Genomic DNA, 25,619 nt, shown 5'->3' on the forward strand with positions numbered 1-25,619 from the left:
CCTTCATGACACTGGATGTGCTAACACTGGGAACTGTACTCTCTATCTACCAAAGCAGTAAGACAAAACTGAATTTATAACTTAAAAACCCTCTGGAGGCAGTGGGTCATGCCTGTAATCCCAACTATTCAGGGGACTGAGGCAGTAGGATTGCTTGAGGCCAGGAGTTCAGTAACATGCTGGGGAATACAGGCTGGTGTGGATCTCATCTCTACAAAGGAAAATTAAAAAATAAACTCTTTGGCTCTACCTAGATATCCATGTACTATTTCAAAATATTGACCCAACTGCTAAGACAAAAAACATCTAGCAAAACACTGATACAATCATAAATATGTAAAATGATTTTTATAAACGATCATCTTGATTTCTCTCCAAAATTCACTGACCCTAAACAAACTTACTAAGCCAGAGAAATAGGTCCCAAAACCAGGAACAAAGAACTCAAAGAAATTCTATTTGTCTAGCAACTTTCGAATATTAAAAAGCAATAAATGACTGTGGAGCAGTAGTACCAAAATAATTACTAAGGGAGCTGTTTCAGTGTGTCAGAACTTTGACAACTAAATGAGGACCACAAACATTTTTACTCTCATTCTATGTACTTCATGTTACACTCTACATTGTTCACTAGTCTAGGTGAAACAATACATGAAGTATAAAGGAATGTTATTTACAAAAAAACCTTTGAAGTTTTTGCCCATTAATTTCATCAGATGCTCTGAAATAATTTGCATCCCTGGGCACAAATTTCATGCCTTCCTTCATAATACCCACAGTATGTAACAATTATTAGTAACTCACGTAAGTATGGCAAAAGATGCAAAACAAGAACACAAAAATGGAATGCAAAAGGAAAACAACACATTTACATGGCAGTTTATAAACAAGCGAAGGCCCGAGAAATAAATTTTAGCAACTAAATTCAATTTTTTCCATAAACCAAAGTTGGATTACCTTACCGACAAATCATGTACAAATGCTTGTGAAACAGGCTTTCTTAGAATAAACCCATTTCGAATCACTCAGCACAGTTAAAAAACAAAAAATTAAAATCTTTTGTATAGAAAAGCCTTTTAAAAACCCAAGAGATGTCTTTCACACAGACTCGACCCTGATTTTGCACGAAATGGGCTGTTGATTTGGCTTAATTTTATCACACACCACACTTGCCACAGTAGTTAAGGGAAGACAGAGGCAGGCTAACAACAACAACAACAAATCACAAATACAACAATATATTTCAATTTGAGAGCAGGTACTGTTTATTAACCAACCAGCTTAGAAAAATAATCATGGTAGACACCTGAAAGGAAAAAAGAAAACCATTAGAAAACACTTTAGGCAGCTAACAATTAACATAAACTAGGCAGTTATAAAGTAATGATTGAGTTTACATTTTTAAGACCACCCAATTTCCATCTTTAAAGACTCCCCAAAACAGGCTTTTCCTTTCCTCCAGAAAGGTCCTCAAAAGCAGTAAACAAACCAACTGTAATCATTAAGATAGTTGACCCCCACTCCCCACAAAAGCACTGATTAAAATTCAAACCCCCATCAATATTTAATGGGAAAAGTATTCAAGATTACCACCACTTATACTCTAACATTAACTCAACCTTTCTCAGGATGAGGTCTCTCACCTTAGTTCATTCTTCTAATAAGCCTGTTGATCTGGTCCTCCCTGTTGCCAGCATCTCCACCTTCTACAAAATGGGTGGTCTTTTTCTTCATTCCACCTCGTGGAGAAGACAATTTGAAGGGCCACAGGAAGTTATTTGCCTCTTTGAAGCGTTTTCCAACAGTATAGATCTCATGAATCAAATCCTCCATGCAGATGATGCCGTATTTACCTAAATATTTTAAGGTTATTTAAGATTATTAAAGTTGCAAAAAGTTTTGAAATAATTATTCAAAATCTTTTTGAATAGGCTGTGAGATGAAAACATAACCAGGAATAAACAAGGTAAATGCATGGCTTTACAAAGATAAGGTTCAAGCTAATGAAACCATGTCTTACGTTTTCTTTTAAGCTAAATCAAGAATCATAGGGAACACATGAAGATTCACAATAGTGAGAAATGTACGGCCACAAGAGGGTAAGAAATTATCGCATGGTCTAATACCAAATTTTCCCCCAAATAGAACCTACCAAGAGATCGAGCAATCAAAGCGTTATCTGTCAAAGCAATTCGCTTCTTATTGATTTTGCCATAACCACGCTTGTAGATTAGTTCATTTACTGACTTCAGATTGGGGTACCTGAAGTGAAAAAGCAAACATAAATAAGGTGACCACTGTTAAAACATCTAAAATTCATGTTGCTACATAACCAATTTATCAAATAGAAATCAAAGGAGAAAAGAGACTTACCCCCATGCAATATATGGCTCTACAATCCTCAGCATGTTAATCGAAGCCTTGTTGAGCTTCACAAAGGTTCCATTGAAGATTTGACGAAGGCGAAGAAGCTGCAACACCTTTCGAACCTTTGGGCTCACTCCATTGATACTGTGGTGAAAACGGACCAGAAATGCATTTGCCTTTCATCGAAATTTTTATTAATACTAACCATTATAGTTTTGAATATCGAATCCTACCTAAACAGATAGGAATCCTCTCATGTTACACACTGAATTTCTGTATTCTATTAAGAGAAGGGATAGGAGCTTGGGGAACATGGCTTGCAACTAAACCATTAGTGATCAGCACCCTCCTTGTTCTAGCTTCCCCTAAAATATTGTTACTCCGGTGTTTCAGAATCAGGGCTCCCAGAAGTAATGTGAAGGTTTTTTTTTTTTTTCCCATTCAAACCCGAATGCAGTAAAACTGAACTTACCCTCTGATTCTGATGACAAACGCCAATTTGGGTTCTGCAGGTACATAGAAGTTGCCAGCTTTTCTTGCCATCCTCGCCATTCGAATTTCAGTTCTGTACATCTGCCTATATTCCTTGTGATAGTGCTTTGCTTTTTCATAGATAAGCTTCCTCCTTGCCTTTCGAAGCTGAAAACCAATAATCAGTTATTCATAATTTTTAGCTCAATCACAATTAGCAATGCCAATCATTAAAAAGAAAACTACAACATGTTTCCTTTAAATCTTTTCTTGCCACAGTATGCAATTACATCCCCCACCAAAAAACCCCACTACCTTCAGATTGTAACATTAGGTAGCTAAGCAATTACTCAGTACAGTTAGGAAGTAAATCTTGCCAAGAACATTCACCTCATCCTCAATCCCAATAAGGCGCCTCCTTATGTGCTAGTGCCTCAAAAAGTTTACTTACCATCTTTTGGGCAAACTTCTTTCTCAGGCGCTTGATCTTCAGCTCTGCGAAATTCCTTCGCTTTTTCTTAAGGGTTTCTGGCACAGCAGGAACCTCCTTCTTCTTCTCTCTAACGTTAATAAACAAAAATGTTATCAATAGCTCAAAAAGCTCACAGCGCTGTATTACTCCCGTACTGAGCAGTGTTGTTTACCAGAAATGCTGTCACTGACTTTAGTCACTAGTAACTTTACTTGCTCTGGCATGCTACAGTGTACGATGCATATTTTAGCTCCATGTCAATAACCTTTAACACCATGTTGCCTAAAACGCAATCACAAATATGACAATAGCAATACGTTTTTCCCTATTTCAACCAAGAGGCCCGGCCTCCGACGACTAATTAAAAAAAAAAACAAAAAAAACACACCAACACCCGAATAACAAAATGTACTAGCTGAAAGACTACTGCAAGGCACTGACCCCGAGACTTTAAGCGCAAAAATTAAAAAATAAAAATAAAAAAAAAACAAGCCACCACCACTCTGGTTCAATCAGGATCCACATGTTGAAAGCAAAGGCCTGGCGGCAGGGAGGCCTGTACCAAGCACCAGCCAAGGACGAACACAATTCAGAGGTTCTGCGCCTCCCCCGAAAGACCCTCTACCGAGGACTGGGCCGTCAGCCAACCGACGGGTTCCACACACATTCCAACCCGACATCTCGTTCCCGGGATCTCCAAAACCTCCGTCCTAAGACCGCCCGCATCCCAACCCTAGCCTCAGGTCCCCACTGGTGTCACACAGCGTTCACAATCAAGCAGGGAGGTGGGCAAAGGTGCAAGCTACGGCCAGAGAGAGAAAAAGTGACACAAAAAGTATCTGGCTCTGGAGATGGAGAAGGATTCTCAAGAGGACCAGAAGCAACTCACTCTACACCCTCCATGGTTCCAGCCGGAAAAAGAGGAAGTTGGCGCATGCGTACTGTCCACTTAAAGACTTCGCGAGAGAAGCCCCACGACTCATAGGTGTCTTAGAATAAGCCGGAAAAGAATCCAGAACTAAAAAGCCGCCTTGCAGACGCAAAGAACTCCCTGATTTAGCCTCTTTCAACAAACTTTCGGGTAAAACTTGTTTGAAGAAAATATATGCATTTGATTAGACTTTTTAATCAATTCAAGAGCAAAGAGTGCTGACACCTTGGCAACTCCGGGTCCTAATCCCCAGGCTGCGCTGACAGGATTAGGCTCCGTTCCTCCCCATAATGTTCCCAGGACGAGCCTCATGGGGACGAACTACAAATCCCAGCATGCACCAGTCTTCGCCCGCCCGGCGGGAGGGCAACGGCTGACCAGGACCGCAGGCAAGCACCGCGGCGACGGTTCCAGCCAGGAAAATGAGAGCCTCTTGGGCCACGTTCCAAACGGCTAGCTGCAATTCGAAGTCACTTTTGGCCGCCCTCCCGGCTCCCTGCCGCGGTAGTCGCAGACTACACCCCTTTCGCCGCTCCGCGAGGTCCTTGTCGTCGCTCCAGCCCACAGGGCTGTCTTCCGCAGCGCCTGATCGCAGGCGGGGCGGTCTGGAGTGCTCTAGCTTACGAAAAGTGGCTAGCCAGGGACCAGTGGGGACCGGACGGCCGGAGGAGGATGGCCGGGGCTCTGCTGACTGCCGAGCTCGGCAGGCGGAGGCCAGGACACCCCACGGGAGGGGGCGTGAGCTGCGAAGGGAGGTGCGAGGAGGGCTGAGGTTGCGGCCACGGCCGTGTGAGAGGGGCTACCCGGCTCGGCTCCGCGGACGGCTGGCGGGCTGGGGGCTGGGCCGGGGGCGGGGTGCGCCCGGGGGCGGGGAGGCCGGGCGGAGGGAGGGCCGATGCCGAGGCTGGCGCGGGCTCTTCCCGGTCGCGGGGTTATATAGCGCGGAGCGTGGAGCCCGCTCAGAGCCGGCCCGGAGCGCTCTGACTTGCAAGCGGGCTGCGCTGCGGAGCCCAGTGCCCGAGTGACACCCGCGGAGAGTGCAGGGCCGGGGAACGCGAGCCCTCGGGGGCAGCTGCAAGGCGTTGGGCAGCGCTTGCCTGCGCCGAGCGAGTCTCCCCTTCCCGGCGCTCCGCCGCCCCGCACCCCACTCTCCCACCCTCTCGCAACTTGGGTCGAGTTGACAACTCCCGCGGCAGCCCGCTGGCCCGTGCCGCCTCCGCTGCGCACCCCTCCCCCGGGGTGAGAGGGAGCCGGCGCGCCGGTTCCGGGGACGCTCGGGCGGCAGCAGCTTGGCCATGAGGGCAGTTCGAGTAGTCTAACTCGCGGCTGTCACCGCCACTGCAGCGGAGCCGGCCGGCCGGGCGCTGCGGGACGGGCGGGCGGCTGCCGGCAGGAGGCGCCGAGCCGGGTGACTGCCGCGGCGGGCACAGTCCGGGGCCACAGCGCCGAGCCCGGGCGGGAGTGGCCCCGCGCAGGCAGGGAGCGGCGCCGCGCACTCCAACCCGGCGGGCACCTCGGGGGCGGGCGCGGGGCGCAGCCTTCTCGTCCCGGCCTCTGTGACAAGCGCCCCGGAGCCGGGAGCCCGATTGCCGGGCTCGGGGTGGGCGCGGACGCAGGCACTGGGCTCGTGCGGGGCCCCGGGCGTCGCGATGAACATCGTGGTGGAGTTCTTCGTGGTCACTTTCAAAGTGCTCTGGGCGTTCGTGCTGGCCGCGGCGCGCTGGCTGGTGCGGCCCAAGGAGAAGAGCGTGGCGGGCCAGGTGTGCCTCATCACCGGCGCCGGCAGCGGCCTGGGCCGCCTCTTCGCGCTGGAGTTCGCCCGGCGTCGGGCGCTGCTGGTGCTGTGGGACATCAACACGCAAAGCAACGAGGAGACGGCTGGCATGGTGCGCCACATCTACCGCGACCTGGAGGCGGCCGACGCCGCTGCGCTGCAAGGTAACCTGGACCCGCGCGGGAGCATTGTTGGGTCAAGCCTCTTTCCACCCCGCGCCCTACCACGGCAGGCCCCAAACCCCGCTGCCTGGTCAGCCCCGCTGTGGAGGAAAGGAACACCCCACCGGTCTTTTGGGAGACGAGTGGAATTCGCTTCCTGATAAAGGAACGCGATCACTTCTGTATTACCAGGGAGAAGGTGCCCTGTCCTCGCGGAGGTTCGGTCTCTGGGGACCACGGCGGGGGGAGGGGGCGGGTTTCCTAAGCCCTCCGGGGTAGGGAAGGCGGAGGGAACTTGTTACCACAGGTTTGGATCCCAAAGAAATGTCTTGCTCCGACTTACAAGCGGCGCGATGGGAAACTGAAGCGTCTTTGGGAAGTTGTTCTGACTAGACTGAAGAAGTGTCTGTCTTACTGTGGTCTGAACCCCTTAGACGAGGGCAGTATTGACGGTTTCATTATAAGTTTAGCCTGAGGAACATAATTACATTGTTTCGCCAGCGATAAGTGCTTTAGTTACATTCCCTGAGCGTGATTGAAAGACGCCTTGCTTCCTAAGAGAAAGCTCTTGGAGGATTTAGGCTTCGTTGTAAATTTCTTCCATGTTTTTGGTCACCCCAGAAAATCTGCATTTCTGAATACTTATTAACTAACCTGAATCTGAGTTGTTTTTTTTTTTAAGCCAAAGCAAAGTCCATAACCAACCATAAATATTGGTTCAGGAAATTTGATAATGGCTGTTGGTTTTTAACAAAATTTTTCATTTTTAGGGAAAACATTTACCTGTACGGAGAAAATTGACTTGGGCACTTCTCCCCTGTATTGATAATTTATCATCAAACTTATTGATACCTGCGTTTTTAATTTAAGGGTGAAAATGTACCATTTTCATTGGTGGTATGGAGGTGTAGCAAATACAGATTTTTGTGCTCCCTGCCGAAACCTAAAAGATAAGGGTATTCATTTTCCAGGATACCGATTTTGGTTTTTAAATTGTCAAGTTCTTATGCGGTAAAATTGCATATTTACCTGTAACTTGATTTGTGAGAGTACTTCTTAGAGGAGTCAGCCCAGTTAGAACAAGCCAGTGATCCCTATTTCTTCATTAAAAATTGTGGATTCATTTCTTGGCTTTGGATGAGTTCAGATTATTAATTGCAGTTTTGATTTGTGAGCCTTGAAGTGAGTTTCCATTTTGAGGGTTCTCATACTAAAGACTAAGAGCTGTTTCTCTTGGGCCACTGTTTCCCCAAAAAAAGAGGAGTGTGTAGTGTGTGTGTGTTGTTCTCTGAGCTCTGGGCTGAGATCAGTTCTTTGCAGGTGTCTTTAGCTCCAGCAAGCTGATCCCATGTGGTCTACTTGTATTGGGCTTGTCACAATTACATGACTTTCCCCTAAGCAAAGTTATCCAGTAAATTGCTGTAATTCCCAAAGACTTCATGGGAGGAAGGCAGCTGTAAAGCTCAGTCGTTGGCAAGCCTTGCAGCGTTAGAAATTTGAAGCTCACTGTAGTATTTTTGTTTTGTGTGATCTTTGTCCTACTGATCGCCATGTGACTCACTTTCTGCACTTCCTTCTCTTTTGCATGTTTTCTCCTCATCTGGACTTCTGAGGACAGCTGGGAATGGTGAGGAAGAAATTCTGCCCCACTGTAACTTGCAGGTTTTTACCTACACCTGTGACGTGGGGAAGAGGGAGAACGTCTACCTGACGGCTGAAAGAGTCCGCAAGGAGGTTGGCGAAGTCTCAGTCCTGGTCAATAATGCTGGTGTGGTCTCTGGGCATCACCTTCTGGAATGTCCTGATGAGCTCATTGAGAGAACCATGATGGTCAATTGCCATGCACACTTCTGGGTAAATATAAACATCCTTGTTTTCTTTGCTGGGCCCTCCTTAATGAGAAGGTTGGGAAGGGGAGAGACTTCAGTGCCAGCCTGAAAGCAACCTGTACTCTTTCGCCACAAGGTCTCCTTAGCTCTTCCCTATGGTAAACTGCAGTGTATGCTGGTTACTGTTAGTCGTTTTGTCCCCGCCCACCCCCCCGCCACCCCTAACTCAGTATTTTTGAGAGGGCAGAGGATTGAACATTTTGAACTAGTTTGAAAGATTGCCATAAAAATAACACGAAGGAGCGTAAAACCCTGGGTTTGTTTATTTTACTTTCTGTTGAGTTTATAAAACATTGGTTGTTCTTATGAATTTCTAAAGTCAGGATTTAGGCTTCCAAATTACTGCTCAGCCACATTTTGGAAAGTGCCAAAGATTCTGAAATCAACATTTGTGGTCTGTTGGGAGTGCCCAGGCCACCCTGGCAGTTACTTCGCATCTCCTGACCATCCATTGGGTCCAGGGCATCTTCCTGTTGCAGGACGCTTCGGGACTCTCTCGGGTTAGACAGTGCCTCGCAAATATCACCCTAATAGGACCCTAGAGAGGGAGGCGAGGTGGTGAAACCTGGTAAGCTGGGGATTTAAACAATGTCCGCTTCTAACCATTAAACAATGTCATGATCTACGGAGGGGAGCAGGGCCTTCTGCTGCTCTAGGGGCAAAAGTAACCCCAGTTTTTCATCTCAAGTTGTCTTCAGTAAAGGTAGGTGTGACTCTGTCCCCTATAACTGCACACTGCTGACCCACTTTATGCTCTTTTTCCTCACAGTATTTTCCCTTTCCTTTTGTAGACAGATACGATTCAATAAAGAAGGAGTAAAGAAATAGGATTCTACTTTTTTTTTCCATAGGCGGATTAGCCTTCTAATAGAACACAACAAAGAACTGTTTCTCCTAAATAGGTCACATTAAACCTCATTAATTTTTTAGCAACTGCTTAAAAACTTAATCTGGCATTAAAAGTACTTATTCAAATGTTGCACCTCAAGCATCAAACCTTTTCTCTGCTCTTGGAGGAAGCTTATTTTAATGTTTTATTTTTAAATATGAACTTTATTTATTTATTTATTTATTTATTTTTCGAGATGGAGTCTCACTCTGTCACCCAGGCTGAATGCAGTGGCGCGATCTTGGCTCACTGCAACCTCTGCCTCCCAAGTTCAAGCAATTTTCCTGCCTCAGCCTCTTGAGTAGCTGGGACTACAGGCACATGCTGCCACACCTGGCTAATTTTTTGTATTTTAGTAGAGATGGGGTTTCATGGTGTTGCCCAGGCTGGTTGCGAACTCCTGAGCTCAGGCAGTCCACCCACCTCAGCCCCCAAAGTGCTGGCGTGAGCCACCGCACCTGGCCTGTTTATTTATTTTGAGATGGAATTTTGGTCTTGTTGCCCAGGCTGGAGTACAATGGCGTGATCTCAGCTCACTGCAACCTCCACCTCCCAGGTTCAAGCAATTCTCCTGTCTCAGTCTCCCAAGTAGCTGGGATTGCAGGCATGCACCACCACGCCCGGCTAATTTTGTATTTTTAGTAGAGGCGGGGTTGCACCATGTTGATCAGGCTGGTCTCGAACTCCTGACCTCAGGTGATCCGCCCGCCTCAGTGTCCCAAAGTGCTAGGGTTACAGGTGTAAACCACTGCACCCGGCCAACATGAACTTTATTTAATTCATTTACAAACCTCTAGAAATGAATATATAAATGACCTGAGCTTATATATGTTTTAAACAAGTAAGGAAATCACCAAATACAGTTTGGGCAACTTCAGCTTGCCTGTAGGTGTGTGTTGTGTTCAGTGGGGGTGGGGAACTGAATTAAAGTCCTTGCTGTGGCTGGGTCCCCAGGAACAGGCAGCAGGTGTCAAAGGGGTGGTTAGATGAATAAAAGGCAGTCCAACCAAATAAACTTGACATAGAATTTATCAAGAATCTTGTGTGTTTATGACTAATCCTGAGTAAAACAACTACCATTTGAAATAAAAGACATACATAAGTGGGAGGCGAAGTGTCATTTTCATATTTGAAGAATGGTAAAGATGAAGCTGCCGTAAAAACTGCAGTTGATTTAAGTCAGCCCTAAACAGTTACAGCACTATCAGTAGGTTCATTATGAACCGCAGATACTGACTGGGATTGTTTTCTCCCGTAACCTTTGACTAAGATGATGCAAGACTACATAACTAAACTTTTACCTACACCAGGTATTCTAAAGTTTAGCCATCTTGCCTACTTTGTCTGCATGATTATTTTGCTTAATTGTAAAATTTTAAGTGTAATCAGGTTTTTAAGAAACCCCATACAATCTGCAGTTAAATACTTAAAACAAGAAACCAGCTCCAGGAAGACATCTGATAAAATGAATGCTAATTTAGTGTGTGTAAAGCACAGAAAATTCATAGCCTTAGCTTTGAAAATGCACATAAATTGATATACCGTCTTTCTAATATTAGGCTACTTTTTAACATAAGGAGGAAGTCAAATCAAATCTCTAAATAGAAAAATTATTCTGGACCTGAATCTGTATACCAGGGAGGAGCATAGCACCTTCCTAGAGTCATCACTGTGCTTTGAGATGTTGCTTAACCACACAATTTAAGGAGTTCTTGGAAGCCTTGATGGTAATGACGTCACTTTGTATTAAAATATGGGAGGCTCCTGAATTCTCCAGCTGTTTTTCCCCTAAGCATCTAAACTTAAGAATTTATTTTCAATATTGAGTCAGAAAATTCATTTTAGAGTTGGAATTTCTGACTTCTTGCTGAAATTTACAAATCTTTTGAGAAGTTTTGATTCAGCAACCAAAATTTAAAGGAAAATTCAGTATAGATTTTACAGTGAATTTTTTAACAGGGGTTAAGGAGTGTCACAAGAGCCACCTGAATTCAGCTTCCCTTCCAGTAGTCCTCTTATGCGAAGCGTTGGTGGCAACTTTTCAAAGATGTGTTGACGTTGGCATGTGCTGTTTTCCTTCTAGAAAAAATAATGAGTGTGTCTTTTTACTGTATCTGGGTATGGAAAAGAAGTTACCCCATACATTTTTAAAAGTCCATCAGCTGAGCAAAGAACTGTTCAGTCATTTGAACAGATCATCCTGAACCAGACATTTAAGTAACCGTTAATATCTGTTTTCAGCAGTTAATACCTGTATTTCAACAAGTAGTATGTTGATCCTGACTCAGAGCAAAAGTGAGTGAAATAGAAAACCATGTGGACTTCCACTGAAAAGCTGTGGGCACTCCCAAACCAGTCCACATGCTATTCCCTCTACCTGAAACACCCTCTTCCTCCATTCCACGTGTCTTTTAAGGTGTAGCTCAAGTTTCAATATAACCTTTCCTTCCCACTGCAGCACTTCTGGCATTTTTGGATATTAGAGTTGCAAGAATCCAGAGACCTTCTTGTTCAACCCTTTGTTTTCCAGTGAAGTTGGGGTTAAATGACTCATCTAAGGTTTTTCTTTTCTTTCCATTAATCTCTCACAGCATTTGTTATCATTCTCCCAAAGTAGATGGCAAGCTGTCTGAAGGCAGTTTATTATATACATCTTTCATTTTCCTTTGCCTGGAACAAAACTCTATTCTTTTTTTTTTTTTTTTTTTTTTTTTTGAGACGGAGTCTCGCTCTGTCGCCCAGGCTGGAGTGCAGTGGCGCGATCTCGGCTCACTGCAAGCTCCGCCTCCCAGGTTCACGCCATTCTCCTGCCTCAGCCTCCCGAGTAGCTGGGACTACAGGCGCCCGCTACCACGCCTGGCTAATTTTTTGTATTTTTAGTAGAGACGGGGTTTCACCGTGTTAGCCAGGATGGTCTCGATCTCCTGACCTCGTGATCCGCCCGCCTCGGCCTCCCAAAGTGCTGGGATTACAGGCGTGAGCCACCGCGCCCGGCCAAAACTCTATTCTTAAGTCACTCAATAAATATTTGATAATAATAGGCTTAAATATTTAGAAGATAACCTATTCAGAGAATACTCACATGGGTCTATGTTCTGAAGTTTTAAAAGGTAAGCATTATGGGCTGGGCACGGTGGCTCACACCTGTAATCCCAGCACTTTGGAAGGCCAAGGCAGGCGGATCACTTGATGTCAGGAGTTCGAGACCAGCCTGGTCAACATGGAGAAACCCTGTCTCTACTAAAAATACAAAAAAAGTAGCCGTGGTGGTGCTAGCCTGTAATCCCAGCTACTCAGGAGGCTGAGGCAGGAGAATTGTTTGAACCCGGGAGGCCGAAGTTGCAGTGAGCAGACATGGCGCCACTGCACTCCAGCCTGGGTGACAGAACAATACTCCATCTCAAGAAAGAAAAAGGTGAGCATTATGTTGGACTAAAGCTGTGTAAGACCATTATTGCAAACCAGGGCTGTCTCACCCTTGTTGTCACTCATATTTTCTTTTGCTTTCCTACATAACTTTCCATTCTCCCTGTCCCACATGTGTTCTGATTTTTACTATTTTGTGTTAGAACTCTGCTCATTGGTGTGAGGCTAGTGACTTGATAAGGCTGGTGTTGGTATGCCAGTTTGAATGAAGCTCACAATGAATGTGTAACAGCCATTCATATTTACCAATGATCAGTCCTCAAAAAGAGGACCCCCTTGGCAATTCTTTCCTTCCCTCTTAACCATGTACCATTTCTGTACCCTTTGGAAGCCTTTCCTCAGCCTGGCATAATTCTGTACAGCCTTCCAGTCTGCTGTGACGCTTCATCTTCCAATGTTGTTCCATCACCAGTAGCTCTCCTAGGAACCTTCTCCTGGTCACCAGTCAAGACTTAGTGATAGATTTGGGGTAGGTTCTAGTCAGCATAATCTACTGTGAAACACCCAGTACAAGACCATGGAAAATGAATGCACTATCATGCACTTTAACACTAGCATAGAAATTATTCATGTGGGCTGTTTGTATCTGGGTGAGATGTAAAAACTTGAAAGATACCTCTCTTGGGCGGGGTGCAGTGACTCAAGCCTGTAATCCCAACACTTTGGGAGGCCGAGGAGGGTGGATTGCTTGAACCCAGGAGTTCAAGACCAGCGTTGGCAACATGGCGAAACCCTGTCTCTACCAAAATACAAAAATTAGCTGGGCGTGGTGGCACGTGCCTGTAGTCCCAGCTCCTCAGGAGGCTGAGGCAGGAGGCTGGCTTGAGCCCAGGGGTTGTAGACTGCAATGAGCTGAGATCGCAACACTGCACTCCAGCTTGGGTGACGAGAGCCAGACTCTGTCTCAAAAAAAGGAAAAGAAAAATATCTCTCTGTATTCTACTTTGAAATATGGAAAGTTGGTCTCCATGCAAACCCATGTTTTCCTCAAAGTACTAACATTGCTTTACTTGTTATTTTTTAAGAGAAGTAGAATCTTAGCTTGCTATTTCTAAAAGCCAAAGTTTATCTGTAGATCCTTTTTAACCGAAGAGCTGCATTTGGCCTTTATACGTGAGCAGCAAATTGATCCCTGATTAACCAAAAGGGGGAAGCAAAAGCATTTAACTCCAGGCCTTTTATATTCTGAAGAATTTTTGCATGGTAAAGGACTAAATCTGTCAAATAGCTAGTAGGTAATTTACTTCTATTGATATGGTAGTCAGACAAGATAATTGGTAGTTAATTAATAGACCACTTAACTTAAAAGGTTTCACAGTTTTAAAATACTAATTACTGAATTAAGCATTTATCTATATCCAAATGTCTAAAGTCTATTTAGTTAAAATCTATCCAGGAAAAGTAAAAGCCCACCAGCTAGATCTGAGTAATGTAGCACTTAAAGACATTAGTGCTGCAGTTGTACCTAATATCTCATAAATGGTCCCTAATCATTAATGTTTAGGTTCTTATGTGATTTACTGGTTTTTAATCTCACATACTGCATTCCTGTGTTCTCTGGTTACAGAAACTAGTTTTGTTCAAGGTTTCTTACATTTAGAATTTCAAAAATCATTTCTAAAGTATTCATAAAAATATTTGGCCAGTATTTCTCCTTACCATAATAACTGTAAGACTAATTAGTTTATAGAGAATATTGATTTCCTATCTTAAGATAGCTACTAAACACTTGGAATTCATGGCCTATTTTTAGAAGTCTCCAGTAGAACTGGTTTCTGTTATTAAATATATGTCATATGTATAAAAATGTTTGAACTTTAGAAGTACTTTCAATGTCTTAAACAGAGTTGTAAATTGACCTGGGGTCAATTTTATCTTATTCTTGTAGTCACAGTTGAAAACTGAGTAAAACATCTCTTTTGATAGGAACTGCTTGGTACCTGGGACTGAATACCTATATACACCAAATAGGATCACATGCTCATTGAACTTTGAGTTTCTGTATTTGATACATTACATGCTGGGCCCAAATCTGTTGCTACTAGAAATCAAAATCTATGACATGATAAAATATCACTTTACATAGCTGGTGTGAATAGGGAACCAGACGCTGCATCAGATAAAAAGTTCTCCAACATCTTCAATATGTTCTAATCTGTGTCTGTTTTTCTCAGTTGTTTAAAAAATAACTGCTAAATAACCAATGTCATAATTTCTAACCTAAATGAAAAAAACAGCAATGCTCCCCTCATTGCCAAATCCAGTGTGCAGCTTCATCTTTCTACAGAATGTGACCCTCTTGACCGTCTCCTTGAAACTCAAGTGCTTTAGCTTCCATGATAAGCCCACTTTGTCGTGCTTCTCTGTCTGCCTTCAACTACCTTGACTGCGCCACACATTCTCTTAAAGCAGCATGTCACAAAACTGAACAAACTCCTCTTTGCTCCTTCTTGCATTCCCTGGTCACCAGGCTTAGAAACATCAGCATTATCTTCACCTCTCCAGCCTGCGTACATTCATGGGTCCCCAAATCCTGACTATTTGCTTGTGCCCCTGTGCTTTGATTGATCGCCCCTTTCCTTTCCTACTTCATCCTGTGTGCCTCCATCACCTCTTGCCTGGACTCTTGAAAGTGCCTCTGATCTTCTTTTCCTGTATTCGCTTTTGGCTTTCCAACCTAGGGTCATCTAAGCAGCCTTGAGTTTGTTATCTGCCTGCTTAAAACACTTGTATGACCATATTGCTCACAGCGTGAAGTCCAGGCTCATTAGCATGGCATCCTGGGCCTTCCAAAGCTGATTTCCACCTGCTTTTCCAGGTCAGCACCTATTTATCCCCTCATCTACTGTAAACTTCAGATGGGCTGGACTCCTCACTGTGCCTGGAGAGAGCCTTGCACACACTTATGCTTCACACAAGAGCCTCTGCTTGGCTGTTCTGCCATTTGAGTCCTGTTTTACTTGAAGACAACAGAAGTTGAATAGTTCAGAAAAAAATCCGTCACTATTCCTGAGAAAGAAAAACAAGTTCAAAACATTTTCATGTTCACTTAATAATATCTTTATATGTTAAGATGGCAGTCCCTGTAAAATAGTCATGAAATTCTTGGCTCAAGGAATGGCCCTTTCTTGTTTGATCATGGAGTGAGTTGTGTTATTTATCTCAATTCCTGGAAGGAAGCAAAGTTGGTATTTGTTCTTTTCTGCCTCATTATTTCTACATCCCAGGCTTTATCCATTTTCTGCCCAAATAAAATCAATCTATAGGATATGTCAAAGTGGAAGCATTGTGTAGCCTGTGCTAATGCTAACACTGACTGAATAGCTTTCTCAAAAAGACTGAATGCAGAGTGCCCCGGCAGAGCCCTTAGCCATTCATTGCAGGATTGGGTCACTACAAACCCTGTAGTTTAATACTTAACTGCTCACACTCCACTTATTCTCTTCTCCTACATTTGTTTTTACTCTGATCATGCTTCAGATTTTTGAGATCTTTGGGAAATTCTAATGAATCGGTTTTAGTAACTTGAATATATCTAACCCATGACAATCTGAGAAAATTTAATAGCCTCACCTGAGAGTTAGATGAATTTTAAGTAGGAAACCCCTTTACATTTAAGTTTTGTCTTGAGTTGAGAAATATTAATAGCAAATTCATCTAAAATTTCTGCTTTAGTTCTTTCAGAAACTAAAATTAAGCCTCTTTCAATTATGGTAAGTAGTCTATTTGCATGTGTCTAATCCAGATGTCTGCCTATATGGATAAATGTGCAGATGACATGCTATGTTTGTTTGCTTGCTTGTTTTTCTATGCTCAGTAATAAGTAGAAGACATGATTATGGTGCAGTTACAGCCACTGGACCTGGGAAAGAAAGTCCTAAATACCCAGGATGTTTTTGGACCCCCAAACTGTACTATGCTGAAGTTCCACTAGGGGGTGTACTGGCAGGGTGGATTTGTATCTTATTTCCTGCACATAGAACCAGTATTTTCCTGAGAGAAAGGGTCTTTTGTAACTAATCTTTGGAGTATGACAAAATCTAATAGTCCTTAAGAAATAGAGAACTATTTCCTGCCTCAGCTGAATGGGTTAAGTTCAATATTTTGAGCCTGTAACTCCAGAGATCAGATTAAAATATGTTAATCTTTCTTATCAGAAGTTGGTATAGTAGTTAGCTATTCAAAGAACTAACACTTCTAGATTCTATCAACTGACCTAGAAGCTCCTTTAGGCTGAGACCCCATATAGACATAATTGGAAAATAACTCAGAAGATGGGGGTTTCTGATTTTTTCTAAAGCATACAGCTGGTCCCCATAATAGGTAGCCTTCAGAAGGTTCCCTGTATTGTGAATTATCATTCTGTTAAGATACCATTGTTCAGAGCCTAGGCTGACAGAGCATGGCCTTGGGATTCATTTGCCTTGACATACCTGGCTGGCCAGTTCCAGTCACCTGCATCCCTGGGTTTATACAGGCCTATGCCATCCCCACACTGGAGTGGATGCGAGGGGACGCAAACCTTTTCATGTGGTCTGAAGGAATGCTAACATTTTTTACTTGAAGAGCTTCCCCAGTGTATTTCATTCTTGAATTTTTTTTCTTCTTTTTTACTTTATTTGTCAATTCTCTTAAAACTCAGGTTCACACCTGTCAGGGACCATTTTCCTAAATGCTCTGAAACTGAAATGAAGTGAGCCACAGGGGGAAAAAATGAATATCCTCTTATAATCTTCATAAAACTTTCAACACTGCAGCAAATGCTGCTAGAATATTTAACAAGTAAGGGCAATTACTGCCGCAACCTTGAGTGCTGTCAAATTAGCCCCTTACAATGACAAGCCACTTACAATGAATTCACATTTGGAAACAAAACATTACTTGGTCTGTGAAACTTTCAAAGATCACACAAAGATGTGTGAAAGTGGCAGTGGTGTTAGCATTGTATTTTTTGGTTTGGAAAAAACCACAAGTGTTTCTTACATGCTGCTTGCATAAAATGTGAATTTCTTGCCTTTCCTTCAAATAGTTTAGTACTGGAATTTTTGAATATTAACATGGTGCAGCTTCTTAGTGTTAGCCTAAACAATAGGGCTCAAAATAACATAAGTGGTACTTATGTAAACACATGGGTATTTTGAGGACAAGTGAAACTTAAAATTCAAAGCCTGAATTTTCCCACCTTAAGTTGTAATTAACATACTGCCCCCTACTGATTTCTTAAGGGTTTTTTACATGGGCTAGTCCTGCAGTCTCTTGGGAAAGAGAAGCATAAGGTGTAATGAATTACTTCTAAATGATTTCATATTGTATTTTTATTATGTTTGCTGGACTCTTTAAGTGTTGCGATTTTTACTTATAACAGTCGTTTTTTGCCTATAGTAAAATGGGACTGATAAAAGAAGGATTAGAAAGGTGGTGGTGTTGGAAAGTTTCGTTGTTTTCCAGCGTCATCTAGGACTTGGGATGAAAGGGACTAGGCAGCTGAAGCAACTGCTTAGCAGTGTTTTTGCGACTTCTTTTCTTAGGTCAGATACTGTGTTTTAACCAGAATATGGTCTGCGTGGAGGGCAGGGAGGACTAGGAGCCATACATAGTAAGAACCAGGACTTGCAGGAACTTAAGGAAACAACCTAACCAAAAATAGATAGCACTTATAACAAAAATAGTCTATAAATACATGCTTAATGAGCCTTGTGTACTAAATTTTTATATAGCACTTAAATTTACAAAGCCTTTTCATAAACACTTTTCTCATTTGAGCCTCACAGCAACTCTGAATTAAATAGAGCCACTATCCTCATGTTTATGGATGAGGAAACAAACCCAGAGAGGTGAAGGGACTTCCCTAAGGTCACTGCCAGGGAAGGAAGAAACTAGGACCCAAACCCTCAGCCTAGGCTTCCAGGTTAGAGCCTGTACAAATACTTAGCTGTGGGCTACAAGTTCAAAGCTCCTGGTACAGTAGGTAGATTTTCCTATGAGTCACTTAGGAGTTTTGCCCTGTGGTGTAGTGTAAGAATTAATCTTCAAATGTTGATTTTTTATTAGCATGGTTAGTTTAGCAGTAACTGATTAACCCTAGCTTAATATCCCCAGGAAGCTTGCTCTGTAGATTAGACAAGCATGTAAAATTCAAGCCTGAAGAACCAATACTATACTAGAATTTTATTACGAAAGCCCAACTTGCGTGTTTCTGGGCCTTTTCTGTACTTTTCCATAGCTTGTATTGGAGAGAGTTATTATTTCCTTGAGAATAGTGTAGTGCATCCTTCGTCACCCAGCTTCCTTCTTTCTCTTCCTAGTTTGCATATCAGCATTGACAAATTAGACACAAAAAAAGTCACGAATGGATAGGGCTCTTCTACAAGGACTGGCTGAACAAAGTTCTATGAATAATTGGTACCAAAATATCAGTTAAGTGTGGTTTTAGTTTAGTTCATTTTGTTAGCTTATCTCCTAACAAAATGTAAAACCTTTATTCTGTTATATAATATTCTTATGGGATCAGAATTCCAGATAGCTTCATAAGCTTTGCCTTTGAAATGTTAATCATGGATTTTCAAAATTGTGCACTTTGGGCCACTGGTAGTGTCCAAACTTATAGTCCAAGCATGTGATCTATAAAGGGGTAATTATTCCCTAAATGAGGTTTTCTCACAGGCTTACCATAGTATAAAAGCCTCTATGGTTCACTTGTCCAAGGTAAAGTTGGAAAGCCAGTGAGGTAAGTGCCAAGGCTGACGGAGTCTACAGTCCCTGTCTTGAAAGCTAAGCCTTCAAAGCCTCTGTGGATGCAGAGGGAAGGATTTGAAGTCTTTTAGGTTTCTTCTTTACAAACTTTGTTCTAATGGGATTGGGTGGCTTGCTAGTGCTAAAAATGGATCCAAGGTAAATAGACATAGAGTCAGTCCACAAAGTCCCATGGTCATTCATACTAGGGGCTCTTGCACTAGGGGCTCTTGGCATTGATTTGAACCAGGCTTTACCTGATAAATGCTAGGGGTAGGAGGCACTGGGAACAGAAAGAGGATCAATTATATTGCCTGTTTCACTGAACTCTTAGGAGAGTTGATCTGAAGCCACGTGAGGTTGGGAGTAGACAGATTGCTCAGGCTCACTCTAGAACCTTCTTCTCGGCTTGTAGTCCCGAGCAGCCACAGCAGCACCACCTAACTACTGAATCTGAGTCTGCATTTGATTCAGAGCCCAGGTGATTCCTACACGCATGTGCGCCAAAGTTTGAAGAGGAACTACTCTTCCCACTTTTTCAATATTCCATCTCCCCCTTACCCACATACACACACTTTTTTTTTCCTGAGCTAACCAGCCCTTTAGGAATCTTGTACCTAGGAAGATGTCAGACCACGCACTCTGGGGCCCACTCTGATCTAGGTTTATTTTTTAAATTTTGATTCAGGTCCAGTGTCTGAATGGTTGCTCTGCCCAGGGTGGAGTTTTCACAGCCCTAAGCACCACAGCAGAAAGTCAGGGCCGGCCAGTGAAGAACTGTGTGGCATTGCTGGATAATGGAAGGAATGGTGTCTCATGTATATTTGTTGTCCTTAAAAGGAAGTTTTCTTTTTTCAGTTCTCATAATTTAGTAATGATATTTTCGGTGGTTTAACCAGAGTTGTGATTGGTAAGTGATTGGTGTCATCTTCTATGACATTTCAATATTGTTCCTCTGTGAGGTAGCTAGAATATATCAGACTTGTTGGATCAGTATTATTGTCCTTCAAAGGTACTTCTTAATTTCATGGTGGAGTGGTGGTTTGAAGTATAGAAACTAAAAGTGATGAAGTTTTGAGTCCATATTTAAGTTGTTGCCTTTTTTTTTTTTTTTTTCAATTTCCAGCCCCAAATATATTCCAAACCTGGAAAATGTCATTACAATATGAGAATGAAAACTTAAGGGACAATCATCACTGGAGTATACGGGACTTCCTTTCCTAATGTACATGTTCTTTCTAGTGAGTAGTTCTCATGTGGGTGATTTTGCCCCCAGGAAACATTGGTAACATCTGGAGACATTTTTCTTGTCAGACTGGTGGAGCTGCTGCTGGCATCTAGTGGAGAGAGGTCAGGGATGCTGCTTCAACATCCTTCCATGCATAGGGCAATCCTATGGCTTAAAATTACCCAGCCCCAAATGTAATGGTGCTGAGATTGAGAAACGCTGTTCTAGAGCACTGGTTCCCAAACTCAGCTACAAATGGGAACCACCTGAGGGACGTTGCCTCCTGATGCCTGATTCTCCCATTGGAGATTCTGGTATAATTGGTCTGAGAGGTGACCTGAACACCAGGAGGAAAAGCTTCCCAGGTGATTCTAATGTACCAAACCACTGATTTATAGGAAAGTTGCCATCTGCAATCTTTAAAATCCTTTAAGAGGTTCACAAATACTTATTTTTGTTTTTTAACAATGCCTATCCCAATGTAGGTACCTCATAGACCCTCATATGTGTTGAGTGAATTCTAAGTTCTAACAGTGCATGTTTAAAAACAGAATAAGTTTTCAGGTGTAATCTCTTGAATATATTTACCCTTCATTTATGTAAAGATTTTAACTTTTTAAAGATTTCACAGTAAGCAAACTAGAAAGCAGGGAAGAATTTGAACTATTTACACTTAGGAATTACAGGGGTTGATGATGGGGACATTGAGAGCTGTGCTGTTGGAACAGGGGCTAAGAAGTCTGCCACTGCAGATGGCCGGAGCAGTGGCTAAGCTCGCATGCATGTGTTTATGCGTCATGGAAGTAGTTACTGGTCACTAGAGCAGAACCGAAGCCTCTGCCCTTTGGAAGATCTGTCTTTATTACAATTTCTGAGAAGCAGTTTGAGTTTGGGGCAAAGCAAAGAGATCAATGACAGCCTGTTGTTTGGCAAGCTATTTGGCTGCAATTTTGTGGGTTATTTTCATTATTCCATAAAGAGTTATTAAATAGGGGGAGGGGCCTGAGGCTGAAGGAGATCATCAAACACTCGTTTGATCATCTAGGGCCCGGCAGGGGAAAGATGAGGGAAAACAGCATTTCAGAAACACTGTTCAGCATTCATTGTTTAACACATTGAGCCTCCATGGACTCAAGTAAAACGGAAGAAGGATGATTGTTTCAAATAATTTGTAATTTTTTTAATAGATAAGAGGCATACATTCAAGTTACATTATGTTAAAAGGCACAGCCGTGACATCATAGAAATACTCAATGAGATATTTTTGCTGATCACTCAATGCTGGCCACTGCACTAATGGAGTTGATCCCTTATTGAGTCATTTACGAGAGTCTTAGGCAAATAATACCTCAGCGTGACCTCAGTATTCGGGGTGTGTGGTAGGAATTGGAAAAATAATTGTTGAATCTAAATCGTAACATATTTGAGATGAAAAAACTTTGGACATCTCCTCTTGTCTCACAAATGAGTTTAGTCAAGATCCAGAGAGGTCAAGTAACAAAAGGAAGGTCAAGTAATTGGCAGTCAGGACCAAGTGGGTTTCTGGATTCCAAAGGCCAGTGTATTTTACAGACAAATTGAGTTTTAAGTCACCTTATTTCTGGTATTTCTGCATAGTGAGCTCTAAAATGTAAGGGAACGTTAATATCTGAGTTGCTGCCTTGAGGTAAATTCATCCTATCCTTTAACAGTGGGAAGACAAGTTAATGAAGCATTTATTTTTGCTGAATAACTAATGGTGTCATCATCGAGGTGTTCATTTGAAAAGCCTGGCTCTTTTATTAGCTTCTTGGTTGCAGGGCAACTGTAGGAGTATTCTTGTGCATGTGTGTTAAGTACTAACTGCTGATTCTGTTCAAATGTTGCACTAATCCCTGCGGCCTCACAATAATACATGTTTTTAAAGGGATAGATTTAACATTGGCACAAATTTGACTATTATGACATGTTCTTTAGTCTCTCCTCTATTATCTAAAGAGTGAATGTTTTGTCCCAATCTGATAGAAATTAAGATGAACATTTTGTTAAGTCTGAGAGAGTAGTTCCAGGCTTAAGTATCTTGGGGCTCTATTGCACAATTGGTCAGGGGACCTTTCTGTCTCTACAAACATACCCAACTAGGAAAAAGAGGCTATTATGCAACAACATATGCATGTTAGAATTTCTGTTGTCAGCTGCAACTAGAATATTTAAAGTTGGCATTGCTAGTAAATACAGATTTAGGTTTTACTTCCTAATTAAATATGTAATTTTGTAATGAAGATTTTTTTTTCAAATAATACTTTCTGTGGTCGAAGTAAAATGTCTAAAGTTTGGTCAGTATACTTAATAAGTAGATACCTTTAGAGGTACTTTAGCCATATTTTCCTTACCCAGGTGAGCTGATAGTATGTCACCATTTTACATTTTTTAACACACTAATGATGTATCCTATTAACTTTAACACAGTTCACTATATTTTAAGCACCTTCAGGCATTATAGGAGGTATGGTCCCCTGTGGAAGTCAATGTCTACTCTTTCTTGGATGTTCAAATAAAAGATAAACACTTCAAAACCATTCTTATAAAAGATGGCTTTTTTGAATTGATCACAGGACAATGAATAAAACATTGTGAGGCTACAGGGACTAGCGGAACATTTGAGCAACATCAGCAGTTAGTACTTAACACACACGCACAAGAATACTCCTACAGTTGCCCTGCAAAAGTTTGTGCTTTTGCATCATTTTCCAGGAACAGTGACTGAGTTCTCAGAGAAGAGCGCCACCAGATGTCATTTTAGCCTTGTAAATAAGCAGGAGAGTGTTCCTTTGTGATTCTGATAAAGATAAGTTAACTCTGGCAGCTGCACAGGCAGAAGGGGTGGAACAGTAGAGGAAAGTTGCCCAACCATGTGAAGGGTGCCGTAAGCATTTCCAGTCAGACGTTCTTTGTTCAGTGGAGTCTTGATGGTGTTCTTTTTTATTCAAAGTTTACATCATGCTATTATTTGGAGATTCTGAAAATCCTTAAGCATATGTGAGAAAACTGTGCTGTGCTGGTGGTGTTGACCTTTCTCCCAGCGTTATATGATTTATGGTCCTGTTTGGAAATGAATGTCTACTCTTTCTTGGATTTCAAATAAGAGATAAACATTTCAAAACGATTCTTTTAAAAGATGCCTTTTCTTGATCACAGGACAGTCGTGTATGTGCACAAAAATAATAAGGCCTTCTCCTACGGTGAGAAATTAACTTTGCTTTTCTCTCAGTGCTCAGGAACCTAGAATTGCTTACAAATATGGAAAACACATTCTGTTGTACCTACACCTTTAAAATGTCATCAATCTCAGAATTTCAAAAGTCAGACCTTGCCGGATACCACATTTCTTCACATTGACTTTTGTTCCACTTTAGGCTAATTTGTCCTGACACTGCAGCTGCAGGCTTTGGGCTGCACAGTCTGTCATTAAGAGTACCAAGAATGGTCTGGAGAGTCGGAGCTGTTGGAAGTTAATTTGGCGTAAACTTTACTTTAAAAGATTTCTCGAGCTATGACATGTCACGTCTATGTGCAGTTACTTACATGTCTGTTTAAGAAGTTCTTGCTTATATTACAAATGTGACCTTTACAGTTATCTTTCAAAGTGCCCAGTGCTTTGAAGAGGAACCCTGAGGAGCTAAGGAGATATTAGACTTGTTAAGCATGTTTCATAGGAATGTCAGTGTCCATTTGAATGTCCTTCCCTTTTTTTTTTTAATCACACAGCAACCCTGTCAGCTGGTAGCAGAATATGGTATTGGAATCTTGTGATCAAATTAATCATGGTAGTCAAAGTTCTAGCTCTACATTTAATAGCCAAAGTCAGTTATTAAAAGTTTTCTCTTTTGCAAATAAGAAAATCCCTAGGCCCCTTCCAACTCTAAATTCTGTAAACTTCCTGTTTCATATATTGGTTACTGACTTTGAGACCCCCTAGATCAAGAGTCAACCATATTTTCCTGCTGAAGAACTTGATGTCCTCTTCTGTTTTTTAGACAGTAAAGAGGACACTGCAATAGAGTGCAATTCTCTGACTTACATTTAGCATCTAGCAAACCTTGCCAACCAGCATGGGCACCAGCTCACTCTGGAGACTGAGCACATGTACTGCATTTAGAGACCCCTTTACTAGATGATAACTCCTGATCTATCCATCCTTATACTTGATGTAACACAGCAGTCCTATTGGTCAGCAAATTATCTGTGCTGCCCTCTCAGATCCACCCATGCGTCACAGGCATTAATCTATACCAAAGCCGTTTGGCTGTGTGTTTCAGATTTGCCCTTTATGTTCTTCTGACGACTCTTTGAGACAAAGTTAAAGATTATGAACCTTAGCTTGAACTGACTGGTGTCATGGCAACTAGCACTTCACCTTTTGCTGGTCTCTATCTCATACATGCTACAATATTTGTGCACATTAATAATTCATTGCAAAGTGCCAGATTTCTTTGTGCTGTCAAGCAGTGTCAAGGACAGAATATGCTGTGCTATCTCAAATGTCATCTACCAGACTGTTGAGGGCAAGAGTAATTAGAAAAGAAAACTAGTCAGGTTACTTGGGAAAATTCCTGAAAATGTGATGCTTTCTAGTCACCCAACTATAGCATTTTTCTTGCAAAGTATGGAATAGAATTCATGTTGATCAAAGTTTATTTAATAATGCGCCCCAGACATAAGGCAGGAGTTTGGAGTAATTGCTCGCCTCTATTCAGGCAGCAAAGGAAATGATTAACAGCCTTCGTGCTCAGTCACGTGTACTGGGCTCCAGCGGGAACCTGAGCACAGGCTTAAAAGAAACCCGAGTGGTCCTGATGTGGGTGCTCCTACCCCAAGCCTGCCTTTGCCCGACACAGAGCAGAGCTGAGTAAATGTTTGACACCAGCTTTAGAAACAAGCCGTCTGGGATCTCAGGCTGATTAGCGGCCCTGGATAGCTTTCTTCACCTCTCAGTTCCCTCCGCGCAGCTCTTTGGTGGTTGTTGACGCTGTGAGTGATTGTTATAGTAATTGCAGTGTTGCCTGTAATTAATGAGCCTTTCAAATAAAAAATATGGATCTTTGTCTTAAAAATGTGGAAAATGCAAAGATACATTGGATTTAATTTATACAGAAGGCCAGATTTGTCCTTGATTAGGCAAAGAAATCACATGTTTTAAACTGAACATTGACTCACCTGTGCTTTACAGAACAAAACAAATAATCTCCCTCTCAAAAGAAAGCTTCATATTACAACCAGCCAGCATGTGTCGTACTTTA

General features: G+C 42.4%; 2 protein-coding genes and 1 long non-coding RNA gene across 4 annotated transcripts in view, besides 9 other annotated features; 1 reads left to right on the top strand and 2 right to left on the bottom strand.

The window, feature by feature from the left end:
• Window positions 1-842: 842 nt before the first annotated feature.
• RPL7 (ribosomal protein L7) lies at window positions 843-5,067 on the bottom strand. 2 transcript variants are annotated; one of them, NM_001363737.2, is made up of 7 exons: window positions 4,467-5,067; window positions 3,290-3,398; window positions 2,840-3,006; window positions 2,374-2,511; window positions 2,153-2,262; window positions 1,644-1,853; window positions 843-1,306 (listed from the first exon to the last, which is right to left on the bottom strand). In NM_001363737.2, exons 2-6 carry the CDS (start codon window positions 3,290-3,292, stop codon window positions 1,645-1,647), a joined length of 627 nt encoding a protein of 208 aa, NP_001350666.1. In that variant the 5' UTR covers window positions 3,293-3,398; window positions 4,467-5,067; the 3' UTR covers window positions 843-1,306; window position 1,644. The 2 variants fall into 2 exon arrangements, with proteins under 2 accessions (NP_001350666.1, NP_000962.2); NM_000971.4 differs by lacking the exon at window positions 4,467-5,067 and adding an exon at window positions 4,200-4,234.
• Window positions 3,486-4,194: an enhancer, noted in NCBI's record as "NANOG-H3K27ac-H3K4me1 hESC enhancer chr8:74205120-74205828 (GRCh37/hg19 assembly coordinates)". NCBI's record gives its function as "activates a minimal SCP1, AML or CMV promoter by ChIP-STARR-seq in naive H9 embryonic stem cells {active_cell/tissue: H9 hESC(naive)}" and the evidence as "EXISTENCE:reporter gene assay evidence [ECO:0000049][PMID:30033119]".
• Window positions 3,486-4,235: a biological region, named in NCBI's record as "NANOG-H3K27ac-H3K4me1 hESC enhancer GRCh37_chr8:74205120-74205828".
• Window positions 3,816-3,865: an enhancer, noted in NCBI's record as "active region_27529". NCBI's record gives its function as "activates an Ori minimal core promoter by ATAC-STARR-seq in GM12878 lymphoblastoid cells {active_cell/tissue: GM12878}" and the evidence as "EXISTENCE:reporter gene assay evidence [ECO:0000049][PMID:35858748]".
• Window positions 3,876-4,235: an enhancer, noted in NCBI's record as "active region_27530". NCBI's record gives its function as "activates an Ori minimal core promoter by ATAC-STARR-seq in GM12878 lymphoblastoid cells {active_cell/tissue: GM12878}" and the evidence as "EXISTENCE:reporter gene assay evidence [ECO:0000049][PMID:35858748]".
• Window positions 4,195-4,902: an enhancer, noted in NCBI's record as "NANOG-H3K27ac-H3K4me1 hESC enhancer chr8:74205829-74206536 (GRCh37/hg19 assembly coordinates)". NCBI's record gives its function as "activates a minimal SCP1, AML or CMV promoter by ChIP-STARR-seq in primed H9 embryonic stem cells {active_cell/tissue: H9 hESC(primed)}" and the evidence as "EXISTENCE:reporter gene assay evidence [ECO:0000049][PMID:30033119]".
• Window positions 4,356-4,845: an enhancer, noted in NCBI's record as "active region_27531". NCBI's record gives its function as "activates an Ori minimal core promoter by ATAC-STARR-seq in GM12878 lymphoblastoid cells {active_cell/tissue: GM12878}" and the evidence as "EXISTENCE:reporter gene assay evidence [ECO:0000049][PMID:35858748]".
• Window positions 4,936-5,895: a silencer, noted in NCBI's record as "silent region_19287". NCBI's record gives its function as "represses an Ori minimal core promoter by ATAC-STARR-seq in GM12878 lymphoblastoid cells {active_cell/tissue: GM12878}" and the evidence as "EXISTENCE:reporter gene assay evidence [ECO:0000049][PMID:35858748]".
• Window positions 5,203-25,619, top strand: part of RDH10 (retinol dehydrogenase 10) — a 30,680-nt gene continuing 10,263 nt past the window's right edge. Inside the window, exons 1-2 of the mRNA NM_172037.5 lie at window positions 5,203-6,179; window positions 7,795-8,030. Of these exons, the coding sequence (NP_742034.1) occupies window positions 5,891-6,179; window positions 7,795-8,030 (525 nt within the window). The 5' untranslated portion in view covers window positions 5,203-5,890. The remainder of the gene's footprint in view (window positions 6,180-7,794; window positions 8,031-25,619) is intronic.
• Window positions 9,397-9,897: an enhancer, noted in NCBI's record as "H3K4me1 hESC enhancer chr8:74211031-74211531 (GRCh37/hg19 assembly coordinates)". NCBI's record gives its function as "activates a minimal SCP1, AML or CMV promoter by ChIP-STARR-seq in primed H9 embryonic stem cells {active_cell/tissue: H9 hESC(primed)}" and the evidence as "EXISTENCE:reporter gene assay evidence [ECO:0000049][PMID:30033119]".
• Window positions 14,845-15,346: an enhancer, noted in NCBI's record as "NANOG hESC enhancer chr8:74216479-74216980 (GRCh37/hg19 assembly coordinates)". NCBI's record gives its function as "activates a minimal SCP1, AML or CMV promoter by ChIP-STARR-seq in naive and primed H9 embryonic stem cells {active_cell/tissue: H9 hESC(naive and primed)}" and the evidence as "EXISTENCE:reporter gene assay evidence [ECO:0000049][PMID:30033119]".
• The window catches only part of RDH10-AS1 (RDH10 antisense RNA 1), a 45,556-nt gene continuing 41,443 nt past the window's right edge, over window positions 21,507-25,619 (bottom strand). The window contains exon 6 of the long non-coding RNA NR_125388.1: window positions 21,507-23,998. This is a non-coding gene — a long non-coding RNA (RDH10 antisense RNA 1). The remainder of the gene's footprint in view (window positions 23,999-25,619) is intronic.

Source organism: Homo sapiens, chromosome 8 (genome assembly GCF_000001405.40).
Source record: "Homo sapiens chromosome 8, GRCh38.p14 Primary Assembly".
In the NCBI taxonomy this organism is placed as follows: Eukaryota; Metazoa; Chordata; class Mammalia; order Primates; family Hominidae; genus Homo; species Homo sapiens.

What these genes read in the sequence shown, in the direction of transcription:
- RPL7 (NM_000971.4), bottom strand. An exon ending in AGAAGTTTGCCCAAAAGATG is followed by an intron (nt 3,007 to 3,289) that starts GTAAGTAAACTT and finishes ATTGGTTTTCAG; the next exon opens with CTTCGAAAGGCAAGGAGGAA. An exon ending in TTTGATTGCTCGATCTCTTG is followed by an intron (nt 1,854 to 2,152) that starts GTAGGTTCTATT and finishes TAAAATATTTAG; the next exon opens with GTAAATACGGCATCATCTGC.